At 41.6% G+C, this 16,824-nt stretch overlaps 1 long non-coding RNA gene across 1 annotated transcript in view; it reads left to right on the top strand.

Moving 5' to 3' along the window:
- LOC102724465 (uncharacterized) overlaps window positions 1–16,824 on the top strand; it is a 379,687-nt gene that overhangs the window by 50,081 nt on the left and 312,782 nt on the right. The gene's annotated exons all lie outside the window — the stretch shown is intronic.

Raw genomic sequence — 16,824 nt, 5'->3', positions numbered from 1 at the left:
GCAGGGCAAGCCTTGGTGATGGGTTGGGCAATTGGGCAATTAACCCAAGGACATGTGGGTTCTGGTGGAGTATGGGGATAATGCTTTTATTAATTGGTAGAGTTCAGTACTTTACCTGGCAGATGGGCTTTCTAAGTTAGAGGGCAGTTTCCCAGTTGTGCTGGTATCTTTTTTAACTCATCAAAGGGGCTGCAGTAAGAATGAGTATGCCACAGAAGAGGTAAATTTGAAAGGTTAAAAATAAAGATCCGAAGAGGCCAATGAAACAGATTAATAAAGCATGTTGGCATCATATAGGGGTTTATGCAAGTGGAGTCTGTTGTTTCCAGAAATACTGAAAGACCATGCTTTCTCCATACTTAGACTATTTCCCAGCCCATAGGTAGGAAGAATGGAATCATGCATGAATAGGATCTGGGTGGAAGTCATGGACTCTGAGCTTGCTAAAACCCAGGTTTTCTGTACCAATGTTTTTTTGGTCTCCCCTGTTTGTTTGTTTGTTTGTTTTTAGACAGGGCCTCACTCGGTCACCCAGGCTGGAGTGTAGTGGTGCAGTCACAGCTCACTGATCCTCAATCCCCCAGGCTCAAGCAATCCTCCCACCTCAGCCTCTCAAGCAGCTGGGACTATAGGCACACAGCACCACACTAGGCTAATTTTTGTATTGTTTTTGTAGAGACAGGGTTTCTCCATGTTGCCAAGGCTGGTCTTGAATTCCTGGGTTCAAGTGATCCATCTGCCTTGGCCTCCAAAAGTGCTGGAATTACAGGTGTGAGCCGCTGTGTCTGGCCTTGGTCTCCTTAAGGTTGACAAAGGATGAGATGCAGAGCCACAAAGAAAGACAAGACTGCCTCTGTAGCCATGTTTCTGAAGAGGAGCTGATGCGTGCCAGTGTCATTACTGTTGCCTGTGTAGAAAGCCCTGATGCTGACAGGCTGGTGTCTGGGGCACACTCTTATTGTGTAGATGGTGTACATTAGGATGGAATGACATTGGCAGAATTGTGGTTGAGAAGAAAGTGTAATGATAATACCATCAATATGATAAAGTGGAGGGAACACTATTAGCCAATGGCCTGGAAACACAAGAAATTTAAGGAGCATCCAGGCCCGATGAGCTGTAACTGCTCAAAGTATTTAGGCTGATAGAAGTCAGTCAGCCACCAGGGCTAGATGGCCCAGAATAGCACATAACATGGGAGGTAGAAATGGATAAGAGTAGAAGGCACAGTTATTTTGAAACCACAAAATTAAAAGCTAAAACAACAGTCCATTGAGTAGCAACTTGTCTGTGTGTTGTAGTTGAATATTCTGAACTGACAGCCTGCCTAACATAGCAGCATGTTTTGAGGTGAGAAGTGGGCCACTGTAATAAACACATTGCTGCAAACTGTATCTGAAGTAAATAACATTAGGTCTGAGGCTTCGAGACAACTAGAAATCAGACCAGGAGGTGAATAATAACTATAATATGCATTAGTTATTGAGTACTTACTTACCTTGTGCTTGGCATTTATTTTATCTTCAATCAACTACGCAAGACAGTAATCTTAGCATCACATCAGAGAGGTTAGTTATTTCCCAGTAGCAGTGGCAGCCCTGAGTTTTGAACCCAGATTTATTTGGCCTCAAATTCTGGGTTTGCACCATGGAGCATTTTCTCTCTCTGCAAACCAGTCTGTTAGTACAGCAGAAAATGATTGCATCTGCCTTCTGAAGAGAGTATGATTGGAGGTGTGACTGGGGCAATACAAGATAGAACTCACATTTCATAGATAAAGTGATGCCTGTCAGGTCTTGTAGGCCCCTGGGCCTCTCCTTGATATGACTTACTAAGACCTGTGACTCTCAGAATGGCCCTCTGAGTTGCCACATCACTCTTGACTGGAGAAAGAACACCAACAGCCTCATTTCATCGAAGTTCAGGTTTTTAATTAACTTGGCTTTTTTTTTTTTTTTTTTTTTGAGATGGAGTCTCACTCTGTTGCCCAGGCTATAGTGCAATGGCATGATCTCGCCTCACTGCAACCTCTGCCTCCCAGTTTCAAGTGATTCTCCTGCCTCAGCCTCCTGAGTAGCTGGGATTACCGGCATGCACCACTACACCCGGCTAATTTTTGTATTTTTAGTAGAGACGGGGTTTCACCATGTTGGCCAGGCTGGTCTTGAATTCCTAACCTAAGGTAATTCGCCCGCCTTGGCCTCCCAAAGTGCTGAGATTACAGGCGTGAGCCATCGCACCCGGCCGACTTGGCTTTCTTAAGACCTGGATTCCCTCATTTCTGTATTGGGTCCTTGGCACCCACATACGTGTACATACAGAGTTGCACCCATCCCTGTGTACTCATCTACCTTGCATGATAAAAATTCCATATTTTACTTTATTGTAACCTGTGGGTGTAGAAAGCTGCCTGAACCCCAGTTGAATCCTGTTCAAACCTGCCCCTTATCTACTGGGAGATTTTCAGGAACACAGTGATGTCCCCAGACCATCCTGCTCTTGTCTACCTAACTGTGGCTGCCTCCACTCGAACTCCTGTGCCTGTTCCACTGTAGCAACTCTATGGCATAATAGAAGCTGATCAGCCTGGGCTTTGAAAGGTGGCACAGTTATTTTACTATCTGTGAAACCGTGTAACTTAAGTTATCTTAGTCTCAGTTTCCTTATATGTGAAATGGGGATAAAGTAATACTTGCCACTAGAATTTATTAAGCATCTATTACGTGCCAGAAGCTGTCTTTTGCAAATTATCACATTCAACTTCACCATAACCCTATATCATAGCTCTTTTTTCTCTTCTTGGCTGAAGTAGGATTCTTCTATTCTGACGCCTTTTCTGATAAATGCAGAAGTTTATCATATTCTTTAGTCACTCCTCTCTGGATTATCCAACTGCCATTTCAAAGAGTCCTCAGTGTATTTGAGTTATTTTCTCTAGGCTCTCTTTCCCAGTCATAGATTTCTCCCTGTTCTCACCAACCATGCTGTTGAGATACCAGGGTACCACACAACTAATTGGCATTATGGGATTTCTACCTTATGGAACAAGATGGTCACACTTACATCACCATGAACACAAAAATAATGCATTATGTCCACACAAAGATAGAGAATGGAGCATGCATCGCAGTGCGTATGGAAGGAAACCTGTAGTTGGTCACTTTATTTGGAATATGGAATTAGTGGAGCCAGCAGCATGGTAATCACACTGTTTGAGCAGGTTTGCTTTGCTGTTTCATGAAGAGATCAGGGGCTTTGCCTGTAACATCAGCAAGCTCTCAGACAGATGTGCACTGCTAGTCCCCAGGCAGGGAAAGGCTGTGCCTGACGCAAGTAAACCCCACTACTCTGATTTTCATTCCACTTTATAAATGCTTAATCAACACCTACTTTGTGCAGGCAAATGTACTAGATACTTAGGTGTAAGATAAGAAATGACCTTGTTCTCAGGAAGTTTATAATTTAGTGCATAGGTCAGGAAAACTTCTCTAAAGGGCCATGTAGTAGATACTGTAGGCTTTATAAGCTAAGAGGCAGTGTATAGTCTCTGTTGCAACTACTTAATTCTGCAGCCATGAAGGAAAATGGCTGTATTCATGACTGTATCAACAGGCAGTGGCCACGTCAGTGGCCAAATTGGGCTGTAGTTTGCTGATCCCTGCTTTATTGGGAGACATAAACATGTAAACAAACAGTTATATAAAATCATGTGTGTGGCTGGGCACGGTGGCTCATGCCTGTAATCCCAGCACTTTGGGAGGCCGAGGCAGGTAGATCATGAGGTCAGGAGATCGAGACCAACCTGGCTAACATGGTGAAACCCCGTCTCTACTGAAAATACAAAAAAATTAGCTGGTTGTTGTGGTGAGTGCCTGTAGTCCCAGCTACTTGGGACGCTGAGGCAGGAGAATGGCGTGAACCTGGGAGGCAGAGCTTCTAGTGAGCTGAGATTGTGCCACTCACTCCAGCCTGGGTGACAGAGCGGGACTCCATCTCAAAAAAAAAAAAAAAAAAATCATGTGTGTAATAATAGAGATATACAGGAGGTATAAAAGCAGTATGGAGAAGGCTTAGAGACTATATATGCCCCTTTAGTCTACAACAGGGTGTACCTCATCCTTGGTACACTGACATTGTAGGCCAGATAATTATTTGCTATGAAAAACTGTCCTGTGCACTCGAAGATGTTGAGCTGCACCCCTAACCTTTGCTAACTAGATGCCAGTAGCAACCTCCCACCCCAGGCTGTGGTGATGAAAAATACTTCCAGAGATTTCCAAATGTCCCTAGGGGAGGAAACCACCCCCAGTTGAGAACCACTGGTCTAGAGGCTACAATTGCCACGGCAAGAGGAGAAGTCAGGTGAATTCTTATCAAGAAGGTGACCCCTAATTAGGGTTTTGAAAGACGAATAGGAGTTTGCTATGCAGATATAAAATATGTGTAGGAAGAGTAGGAAAATGTAAGAAGAAGGCAAAGGTAGACAAAAGCAAATAGATGTGAAAAATTTAAGAAGAGGGCGAAGTAGACAAAAGCAAATAGATGTGAAAAAGTATAGTCGGATGAGGGATTTCAAACCATCACATATTGTTGGGTCAGAGTGTGTGTGTGTGTGTGCGTGGATATGTGTGTATGGAGTGGTTAGAGGACTAAGCAAAAGATGAAGAGAGAAAGACACAGGGGGAAGATCACAGAGGTTCTTGTGTGCCGGGCTGAGAGATTAGATGTTCCTCAGTATCATGAATTGTAACTTTTGAAGAATAGTGGATCATTTGTGAAGAGTGACTTACAAGGTACACAGGCGCTGTCAGGAGGTACCCTTGTAATTAGCAGAGCTGCACCCTGGCTGCCCAAGATTAAAAGCACAGGAGTGAAGACATGCTTGTGCACTCCCGGTGAGTCTCCAAGTGTGAGCCAATAAGTGAGTTTAAATGAAATTATAAGTATCAACCCAAGTGTTCTCAGAAATAACCACTCTGCGATGTGCTAGAACAGATTTTATAATTCTGTGCTGCTTACAAGATATTCTGGTATTTGATAAACTTAATAGAACAGTAGAGTCTATTGATGTTGCTGTACCGCTAAGCATAAGACTCCCCAGAATGTATGCAGAGAATAAAAATAAGTGTTCATGCCCAAAAGTGAAATAAAACAACCAGGGATCATTTACTGGCATGGTAGACACATTCCACTCCAATGCATTGACGTAAACCTACGTGGATGGCTTATTTCCAGGGGTTGAAGGGTCCTAGTATATTATTCAAGCCCTGGATGGGAAGAGAAGCCAGACTTATTACTACACTTTTAAAACTACGCTCTTGGGGAAAGCTCGGTAAACTTACTATCTTTACTTTATCAGAGGGCAAATAGAAGCTTGGAAGGGTAAAGTGACTCAACCAAGTTAGTATCTTAGATAAGACTGAAAATGAATGCCCTTTCGTAAATGCATTTTACTTTTCTTTTAAATGTTTTGTTTGAAAAAATTTTCAAACTTATGTGAAAGGAGGGAGATGAGTACAGTGAAGCCCCCTGTACCCAGCAACAATTATTCAAGTTTTGTCAATCCTTTGTTTTTCCTGGATTAATTTGTAGCAAATATCAAGTGTCATATTTCTCCACAAATATTTCAGAGGTTAATGTATTTTAAAAGATGTCCATTCTATAAAACTTCCCCTGTCCTTCAAGGAAGTGGCAAATGAAGCAATGTCCATTAAAAAAAAAAGTTAGTATGGCTTATGTCATTTTAAGATGAATTTATAGTTCCTTTTACATTAACTTAATATATTTCAACATACATTGATTGGATTTCTACTGTGACTTGGAACTCTAGATAACTAGGAAACAAATAATCATTTACTATTCTTGTCCTCAACTCCACAGTTAAAAACTAGGGAGACAGAAAGATAGATATGGATTGGAGAACTATCTTTACAGTCCAACAGAACTTGGTCCAACCTGCAACTCCTACTGGTTGTATGATGATTGTCATTTAGCTGGATGGCTCCAAGTCTCATCTCCCTCATATCTAAAATGAGGCCACATACCAATTATCTATTGCTGTAACAATGCTTCATAGCAAACCATCCAAGACTCAATGCCTTAAAACAATAAACATTTATTTTGCTAATACGTTTGCAGTTTAGGAATTTAAGTTAGATTTGGCTGGACAATTCTTTTGCCTTTCTCTGGATTCACTTACATATCTGGGGGTTGGCTGGTTGTGAGCTTATCTAGGATGTAATCTCAGCTCTGATTATAGTGACAAGCTTTGCTGCTGCAGCCATGTTCCTCTTCAACAGGCTAGCCTGGGCACATGCTCATGGACATCTCAGAGGGGTGAGCAGAAATACTGAAATGCTTTATAAGCCTCTTCTTGTATACCATTTGCTAACATTACGTTGATCACAACCAGTTGCAAGGATGAGCCCACAGGCCAGCGGTGAAATGATGCCCTGCCCATAGTGGGAGGTAGGGTTACATGGCAAAGGGTGTAGATACTGGGAGGGATAAGAAATTGTGGCCATTAGTGTAATCAACATATCAGAGGATCCTTATAGGACTTGCTGAGTGGGGTCATTATGAAGATTAAGTAAATTAACATTCATATAAGTGAAATGCATATAAAGTAGGTAAAGGGCTTAGCAGTGTTTGGCATACTATAAATACTCAACAGAAGTGAGCTATTAATAATTGTTACTAAAATTATTGTCATATTATTGCTGTTAACACTTCCAGATAATAGTAGAGCTAGTAGTATTAGGAACACAGAAAAGACTCGTTCTGACCCGGGGTGGAGAAGAAGGGTGTGTAAACAATGGGTCTTGTCTGTCTTTTTTTTTTTTTTTTTTTTTTTTTTTTTTTTTTTTTTTTTGAGACTGTCTTGCTCTGTTGCCCAGGCTGGAGTACAGTGGCATGATCTTGGCTCACTGCCACCTCTGCCTCCCAGGTTCAAGTGATTCTCCTGCCTCAGCCTCCCGATTCGCTGGGATTATAGCCACCCACCACCATGCTCAGCTAATTTTTGTATTTTTAGTAGAGACAGGGTTTTACCATGTTGGTCAGGCTGGTCTTGAACTCCTGACCTCAGGCGATCCTCCTGCCTCAGCCTCCCAAAGTGCTGGCATTAGAGGTGTGAGCCACTGCACCTGGCCTTGAATCTTGTCTTAAACAAGACTTTGAGGGATGGGATTTTGAATCTGGAACAAAATAACAAACAAAAATACTGACATTCCTTCAAAGACCCACATATTCTGTTGGGATTGACTTTGATAGGTGCCTGACCACTTGAAATAACTTGAAAGACCCCAGGAAGCTTTTCAACCCCTCAGTATCTCTTCCATTGCCCTAGAACCTTGTTTAAAATCTCTCCCAAGAGAATAAGCCCTCTGGATAAGATAATACCATCATCTCAAAGAACATGGGACGCAGTCATACTGTTTGTGTGCCTGTCATGGTTTTCGGTAGCAGTGGTGTGAAGCGTAACCCTTAAGAGAGGGAGCCAGGGCAGTGGGGGACAGGAGGACAGGCTCTGAGCAGCTCCCACAGAAGGAGTGAACTCTCCATGGCACTGGGGGTTTGGGCCTGTGTGTGGGATTCTAACAAATGGTGTGAAGGTTCTGTTAAAATGACCATCTTAAACTGGCTTTCCCCAAACGTAGGTCCTGAGATTTGAGTGCAAGTGTTTTACTTAGTATGTGCTCCCAGGAAACACTGGTAGGAGAAGTGAGCTAGGAAAGGGGAGGGACCCAGTAGAGGGGATGCTGATGAGCAAGGATACTGCAGTGAGCAACTGGGGCTCGATCCCAATAGAGTGACTGTACAGAGCATGCCCCAGTCCTGCCCCACCCCGATAGTGAGGAAGCAGGGTTCGTTATCTAACAACCCCAGCCTGTCAGAGGTTGAGAGCTGCTCCCAGGGGCATTTGCCCCCTGGCACTGTCATCTTGTCCCTCAAGCAGTCCAAGTCTATTTCAGTGGCCAGGGAAATCCTTGAGGCACAGTGACCAGTGTGTGCAGTAGGAAGCCACGGAGTGAGCTTGGGGACCCTCAGTGTAAAGGGGGTAGGAGTGAGGTCCCAACAGCAAGTCTTCCAGAGACTACAGATGGGATGATTTCAGTGTAGCTGTAATCCACCCCTCTTTGTGGGCTGGTCTTTCTCTTCTGCACCATTTCCACAAGCTATGTTTTATATTCTTGAGATATAAAATATGGTGTGGAGGAATTGCTTAGCTCTCCCCTCTCCTCATGCTTTTAAAAGTGGATGCTAAACATTTCCTGTCATGTGGTGCACCGAAGGATGGAGGGGATTACCAGCTGAGGCAGAGGGAGGTGTGAACATGACAGTAAACTCTGAGGGTTTATTTTTTTTCCCCACTACTGAAGTTTTTGATTATGACCGAAAGGCCTAACTAGGTGCAAAGAGTAAGTGGAAACTGTAGAAAAATAATCGGACCCCTTTACATAGATGCACATTCTTGATCTCCATTTTTATTGGTTTTAGATTTACTCTGCAACATAAATCATTAGAAGTATATCAAGTGGATCAATCTATTTACAAAATATTTAGAAGTAACAGCATGTGTGCAAGAAGGGGAGGGGAGCAGAGAGAGAGGCATGTGAACTTTTTGTAATGAGACTATTGGCCCTAATCGAATTGATCCACTTGAAAAACAAGCAAGAAAAAAGATCCTACAGAGATGACTGTATGTGAAAACAAGGGAATTGTTTGCAGGGGCAAAGAAGGGATAAATCATGAATCATCATGAAACAAGAGGGATGTTAAGAAGGGCAGACTAAAACTAGTATCTTTATTGTCTATTTTTAAGTTGTGCTGTCTTCCTTATTTGGAGGATAAGGTAACCGAGACTCAGAAAGGTTATATCACTAGTTCAACATCACACAGTGAAACAGGCAGAGCCAAAGGAAGGTAGAGAACCAGGGAGAGGCCAGCCTGTGTTAAGGGATGCAGGCAGGATTCCTCATGCTGTCCTAGGAGTCGTGGATGTATATCTACTCCCACTCCTGGGGGACTCGCAGCATGATGTCTTGAGGTGACCATTCATTCATTAATTCTATCCCCACACAATGGCTAAACAACAGGGAACAAGGCATAATCCTTTTCCTTGAGGCACCTCTGACAGCCAGCACTGTGATAGCTGCATGGCGGCTAGCCAGAGACCCCACTGAGTCCATGGGCATGGCAATCCTCTGAAGTGGTGGTGTTCCAGGGGGACATGGGGTGACATTTTTGCATCCTGTTTTATAATGTGACCTGTCACTGTGTCCTGGAGTAGAGTAAGCAGGTTCAGATAAATGGCTGGCTCTCAGGTGGGTAGAGTAGTAACAGGGAATCAGGGTGGTGGAGGCTTTGAAGTCCTGGAAGACAGGCAAAGTGATCAGCCAGTCTGTCCACTGATAGCTGTAACCCAACTACCAAGCTGGGAATTTAAAGGAGGCTTGTGAAGGCTGCGCAGGGAGAGACACATGGATAAGGAAGGGACCTATTCTTCAATGAGATCACTGCATGAAACAGGCTATTGAACTAATGGCTCTAAACTGCATTGCACTGGGAAGGGTCTTGGGGCTCTGGACCTGGATGAAGTAACAGGGTATTTATTGATAGGAGCTAAGAGAAAAATATTCTCACAGCGGGGGAAATGCCAAGCCTGATATTAGCCATAGAACACCATAATCAGGGCCAGTTTCCCATAAGGGAAACTTGGCCACAACACTAAATAACATCCAGAGGGGGTTGTAGGTAAGGACAAGGCCAAAGTGTCTTTAACCTTCCCTGTGTCAAGCCTCACTTAGTATGGGAGTGAAGAGGAGGAATTGCTACCATGGGCCAGAATCCCTGCTCAGAGCTATGTTTATGATCCCACGTGTTCACTACAAAAGCCCTGCAAGACAGACTTTAACTCTATTTTCAATGAGAAAACAGAGATTATGTAATTGTTCATAGGACACTGTGAATAAGAGAGCTGGAGAGAGGCTTCAAGTCTGTCTGCTGCCAAATGTCCTGATATTTCTACTCTGTTGTACTGTTTGATAATAAAGACCATGAATCCAAAGGTGAGATGACAAGTGGGCCAAATACAGAGTGATGCGGAAGAACAAGACAGGAAATATAAGGGATATGTAAGCATATGTGGAGGAGAGAGGAGATGGCTTATGTCAGGGATTTGTGGCCTCACTAAAAAACATCATCTTCTCAGCAGTTAAGCCACCTGGCCATAGATCAATGGTCAACAATCCTACACATATAACTTGGAGCCATTACTAGTGTCACAAAATTTAAAGAGGTTGGATGGAAAGTTTAGGCACATTGAATAAACTTTACCATCCCAGTTACAACTAAAGTCTATGCCAAAAGAGTGTTGATGTTTTGGCTGTGTACCCATCCAAATCTCATCTTGCATTGTAGCTCCCATAATCCCCTCGTGTTGTGGGAGGGACCTGGTGGGAGGTAATTGAATCATGGGAGTGGGTTTTTCCCATGCTGTTCTTGTGATAGTTGAATAAGTCTCACAAGATCTGATGGTTTTATAAATGGGAATTCCCCTGCACAAACTGTCTTGCCTGCTGCATGTAAGATGTGGCTTTGCTCCTCCTTCACCTTTCACCATGATTGTGAGACCTCCCCAGCCATGTGGAACTGTGAGGTTTAACTCGTTCCTTTATAAATTACCCAGTCTCAGGTGTGTCTTTATTAGCAGCATGAGAACAGACTAATACAGGTGTGTTCAGTTGATACAACCATCCGGTGTGCAATATTCCCATTTTATAGATGATGCTCATCACAGCAATAGTTGTCTAATAAGTGGGAAACAATCTAATTGTTCAGCATTAGAGGAGAGTGAAGTAGTTCAGATTCATTCATATAATTCAGTTGGTCATTTATTAGGGGTATTGTTTTTAACAATTCAAGAAAACATGTATAATAACAGAAGCTGGTTTGGTTTTTTAATGGAAGACATGAGGCAGAATCAACTTATCAAATAGCTAAAATATGTTAGATATTTTTTGCAAATATTTCACTCAGTCCCCGGTAACGCTGTGTCTTAGGTATTATCAGTATCATTCAGATAAGGAAACTGAGGCTTGTCTTTTTTTGAGCATCGTTCTCAGGTTCACACAGTGAGTAACTGGGCCAGTAATGACTCCAATCTTGCCTCCTGACTTGGAGGCTTCCAGATTATACTGTTTCTGTGTGAGAAGAGACAGAAGGCTCCCTGAATCTGGAGAATTGATTCCCCTGGCTAAGATATGAAAAAAAACCCAATCATAAAGAATTATAAACAGAAATGGAAGATCTTAGATTTTACCCTAATTTTTATATTTGTTCTCATTGTTTTATTATTTGATTAAAACTATTTTCTTCCTTTATGCGTTCTTGCTTTTAAAAACAATGTTCCTCTTGGTTCTTGCTTTATTGCTAACTCAACTATGAGCCCTTCTTTTTGTTCCTTATTGGTCCCCAGGCTTCTAACCCTAAATCAGTTCTGGGTTGGGTTCCCTCAAGGTTTGGTGCAACCTATTATCTCATTCCTCTGCTGTTGTCAGAGACTTTATTTTGCCATTCATGAGTGCATAATAAGAGATAAAAACTGATTTGGTTTCTAATAGGCAATAGAAGACATGGGGAAGAATGAAAGAGAGAGACACACTGCTTGCTCGGATATTACTGCTATTGCTTATAGTAGCAGTAAATAAACTAGTAATAATTACTAAGATGTGCAATAAATTACCAAATATTAAACTATTTTAAATACTAAAATACTAAATATATACTGAATAATAGTATTAAATATGTCAGAAAATATTACCAAAATAGTAAAAATAATGGCTTAATTTCTGTAATGTTCTATAATTTATAAAGTAATTTCACCTATATCATCTTAGTATGCTTTGTTGGATATAGGCAGAACTATTTTACACCCCAAAGACATTTTGTAAAAAAAAATTTCCAAAAGGATCTCTTGGGCTCATTTTATAGTAAGATGATTCTGTTGTATAATAGAAAAAGTAACAGCCTTTAGCATTTAATCCATTTGATATTTTTCAATTTATATCCAGAAAATTAAGTGAAACTGACAAACATACCTTGGGGAACTGTTTGGTGGTGATGGGAGATATGAAGATGAACAAGCCATTCAGAGCCAGTGCCTGTAAGGAGCCGCAGTCTTAAGCTCTTGAAAAGAAAAATAATTATAAATTATTTGAGTGATAGTTCAAGGCTGGTCTAGATGAGATGTCTCAAGGGAACTCACCAAATTGATTGATAATTGGAGATGTTTGGGAGAGGGAGAGATGCTTGAATGCTGTTGTGCTAGTTAGGGAGACTTTACTGAGGAGTTGGGCTAGGACATGGGGACTCCAGGTTCCTAGTCTCCTGTCAGACACACTAGAGTATCCTCCCATTGCTGGTGTCTAACAAGCCAAAGTTCAGGTCTGTTTAGTCACTTAGTAATCTCCAAACCTGCTTGCTCATCTGCTAAACGATGAGGAAGCTGCAAGGTGGAAAATGAGACGGCTCACATCTGGTGCAATGCTGAGCTATGGTAGACCCTTAATATATGGTGAAGTCCTCTCCCTCATTGCTGTCTCTTCAGGCAGGGCCACTGATAAGCAGAAAGATAAGAGGAAGAGCTCCACAAATCACATAAAGACATTCAATATGGTGTCTATATTACTATTATACTTGGGCTTATTATACTATTCTATATTATTCGTCTATGCTGTTATTACACTTCTGTTTTCTGTAACCTGAAAAGATCCTGAAGGGAGCAGAAGAGACAATGAAGATAGAGGCTTGACACCCTACTTGTCTGTGCTTGACTTCATGTGGCCATTTATTTGCCTGCAAGGGAGGAGCCATGTTGGGGGAAGATGGTGAGCAGGCTCCTGGAGGGGATCCTGGAGGATGCCTGTCGTCTGCCCCCAGCCTGGGTCCATGCTGGTATCTGAGCCCTGTTGGAATGGGTGCAGGTGGAAGCAAAGGGAATGGTATTGATGAGGTCCTATAAATTATGGGAACATGGGTCATGAGCTTCACTGCTCAGGTATGCTTTATGCCTGATGTGGTGGACAAAATGTAACAAGCCTTTTCACTTTAGTTCAGAGCCAAACACTGTGTACCTCTCATATCTTAAAAACTCCAGGGAAAGGTGCCAGTTTCAGGTAGATGTGGAGGCTGATGTGAAAGTCAGACCTCACAGAGAACTGGGGGAGTAGTGTTCTTACTGGCTGAAGCAGACACAGGAAGATGCTGTGCAGGCACAAGGAAGATGCCACGCACACCTCAGATTACTTGAGAAGAACTTTCCAGCATGCTGAGCGCCAGTAGATTAAGATTTTTGTTATTATGGCTTCATTTGATCCCCAAAACAGATAATGTGCAGGGAAAGTCAGATCACCAGCCTACAGTGGGATAAATAAGGCCCAAGCAGACCCCTGCCACCTCTCCCTTCGGCCCCCACCCCAGCACACACATACAGGCACAAGCATTTTGCTGGTGAATAGCTCAGAGACATGGGGGAAAGGTGGTCTCTGAGTGCTGGCTTTCCAGGTCCTGTGAGGTGAACAGGCCTTCAGTGCCAGATGCCCTAAACAGCAGCGTCCTTACTTCTAGGAAAGAGAAAATATCACTTGATTATATTTGGTTTGAAAAAATTTTGGTAACCTCTATACAGATTGAGGAAGAGCAGGTCAAATGCTGTTCTAATGGCAGTGAAAAGCAGCAGTTCTTTTTCTTCTTACTTGTATGTACATTTTTCTCTTTTATTTTTGGTGAAATCATACATGCTTATAAATAATTTAAAAACACAGAAATTGAAAAATTAAATCAATAAAACATCCTCAATCATAGAAAATGACATTTTGATGCATGTCCTTTCATGCATATAATACTACATGTCATATTTTACACAAATGATGTCATAATGTTGCATAATCTGTAATCTGTTTTTTTCCACTCTCCAGTATGAAAGGATATTTTCCAGTTATCAACATAAATTTATATCATTTTGAATGTAAGCTTATTATTCTGTTTTATATATACATACTATAATTTGTTTAACCAATTCTAGTCTTATGAAACATTTAGTTAGCCTGATAAAATTTTCAAAACGTTTAGTTAGACAAAGATGAGATGAACATCCTTGGGAAAGCTTCTTTGGCTACTGTTTGATTATTGTATTAGGTTATAGTCCTGGAAACCAGATTGCTGAGTCACAGAGTATGCGCATTATTCAGGCCTCTGATATATGGCAGTACTTTCAATCTGTGACCCACAGAACTTCAAAGGGGGTGCCTGGAAACTGCCCCAGGGGACCTCAGCAGGAAAGTCTGAGTGATCAACAAAATCCCAGGCCCTACACCTCGTCTCAACCCAAGTAGCTCCAGTTGGATCAGTTTGATTGGTTGGGCTCCATGTAAGATGTTGTTTGAAAAAATAATTTACGGCTCTGAAAATATGTGGATAGTGCTTGAAAAACATAGGTAAAGTCATATTACAAATGATTGCAACTTGGTGACACAAGTTGGCTGACAAAATGCATGCTTGCTTCAATCTGTGTTTCTGAACTGGTAGGTTGTTGATTTTCCAGTGATTCAGGGAAATTATGGTCTTAATTATCATAATAATGGTGATGCTTTTCATTGAGATAAGAGACCAAAAATTAGACTATCTTTAATCAGGATCTGAGGAAATGCTTCTAAAGCAAAGATTGGAGGAACTTCCAAGAAAAGGACTGGACATTTCAAGATCCCCAGCCAACTAATAATATCTTGTTCCAAGCAGTGGAGCAAAGGGCAGTCACTCCCCCTGACTCTCTCCTTTCTTTTCATCTCTTTTCCCCATTCCTGTACAAGCAAACACACAAGTTCCCACACACTCACACAGGAAGCCATGACCTATCCTCAGGACAAATAGTCAACCACGTTGAGGGTCTACTCACTTGGGAACTCCGAGGCATTTCTAGGATGAAGCCAGAGCTCCTGCCCAGCCTGGCCAGCCCTGGCTAGGGACTTGGTTGGATCGTCAGTGTCCCTGGCACTTGAAGAAGGAAAGCCTTTCAGATCTTTTGTCAAAGTGAAGGAACAACAGTTCTGCCTAACTAGTCAATTTTCCTAATGAGCTATTAGGAGCTGTTTTTGTGCTGAACACTCTGCCCTCATTATAACTGTGCTTCCCAGAAGCAAAACTCTCTCTGTCCATTGTAATGAGCAGAACGCTGGAGTGAAACACAGTTTTAATGAGTTACAGCATGGAAATAAAATGGAACAACTTGCATCTGAGAGCACCTCAAAGTATAGCTAAGGCCAGTGCATACCTTTACATCAGTGGAGCAAACCATTTGGATGTGACTTCCGTCATTGGCAAAACTGGAAGAAACCAAACAGGCTTTACCAAAAATGGTGCCCTAGCTGATGAGAGAGAAGAAGATGGAGCTGGGAAATCCCCTCAAGTTTAAATGGGAAAGAAGGAAAATTCATTGTAACTCTGAGAAGTAGAGCAAGTAGTTCTAAGTAATAGACACGGCAGTATTTATGTTACTTTATAATACACAATATTGACATCTGCCCCAGAGTATGCTGGGAGTAAAGGTAGACAGCAAGATTTATTATCGGGACATAGTCAGTTGTGACTGGAGGTCAAATGGAGATGGAAGAGACTAATAGTGTGATGGATCTGGCTCATACCAGTTTGTGAAACCTGATGTTAAATTTTCAGGAATTTTTCAACATGTTTAATAAATACAGCCATTAATACTTACATAATCATAATTAAATCATTATATTGTAAACAAACATAAGAAATACTCAAAACTCATTGCTTCCTGATTATTTAACTCCGTCTTATAATTGTTCTGTCATGGTTATTTATGTCTATTGTATCTATAAGGTAGACAGACAGATATTCAATGATGTCACATTGCTAGCTTGAGATTGTCCATCATGGGAGTATTTACACCATGCAAATCAGCAAATGCTACAAGTCAGGACTGGATTTATTGTGTAGATTGTATATCTAAACTAAAAGTATTGGAAAAAAAATAATGCAGATTGAACTCAAATGTGTGTCATACCTGTGGGTGTTACATTGTGAATGGCATGCAAAAAAATTGAACTATTTTTCCATTATGTGAAAATTATTATTCGATTCAGCCAAGAAGTCAGCCATGTCCTTGATGAGTGCGTGATGTTCTTACACGTCTGTTGTTTCATTTCCATCTTACTCATTGATATAAACAGAAAATATCTAACAAAATTTATACTGGAATTACACTCATTTATCAATGGAAACCACAGGTTAGCTATGAATATCAGAGGTGAGCAAGCATTCTTTAAGAATCAGTTGGCTATGTAGAAATGTCAATAAAGACCAGTGTTATTTCAATAAAGAATAGTATAATTTATTTGTAAATTATGTGTTCTATATCTTTTAATTTTAATTTTTATAATTATTATTTTTGAGACAGAGTGTAGTTCTGTCACCCAGGCTGGAGTGCAATGGCATGATCTCGGCTCACTGCAACCTCTGCCTCCTGGGTTCAAGCAATTCTCCTGTCTCAGCCTCCAGAGTAGCTAGGATTACAGGAACTCACCACCACTCCCGGCTACTTTTTGTATTTTTAGTAGAGACGGGGTTTCACCATGTTGGTCAGGCTGGTCTTGAACTCCTGACCTCAGGTGATCCACCTGCCTTGGCTCCCCTTAGTGCTGAGATTGCAGGCGTAAGCCACCACACTTGGCCTGCTCTGTATCTTTTATATATATAAAATTTATAATGATTGCATTTACATACATATATACATGCATATAC

Source organism: Homo sapiens, chromosome 15, assembly GCF_000001405.40.
Source record: "Homo sapiens chromosome 15, GRCh38.p14 Primary Assembly".
In the NCBI taxonomy this organism is placed as follows: domain Eukaryota; kingdom Metazoa; phylum Chordata; class Mammalia; order Primates; family Hominidae; genus Homo; species Homo sapiens.
The sequence above is the reverse complement of the archived record's forward strand: the minus strand, read 5'-3'. Positions and strand labels throughout refer to the sequence as shown.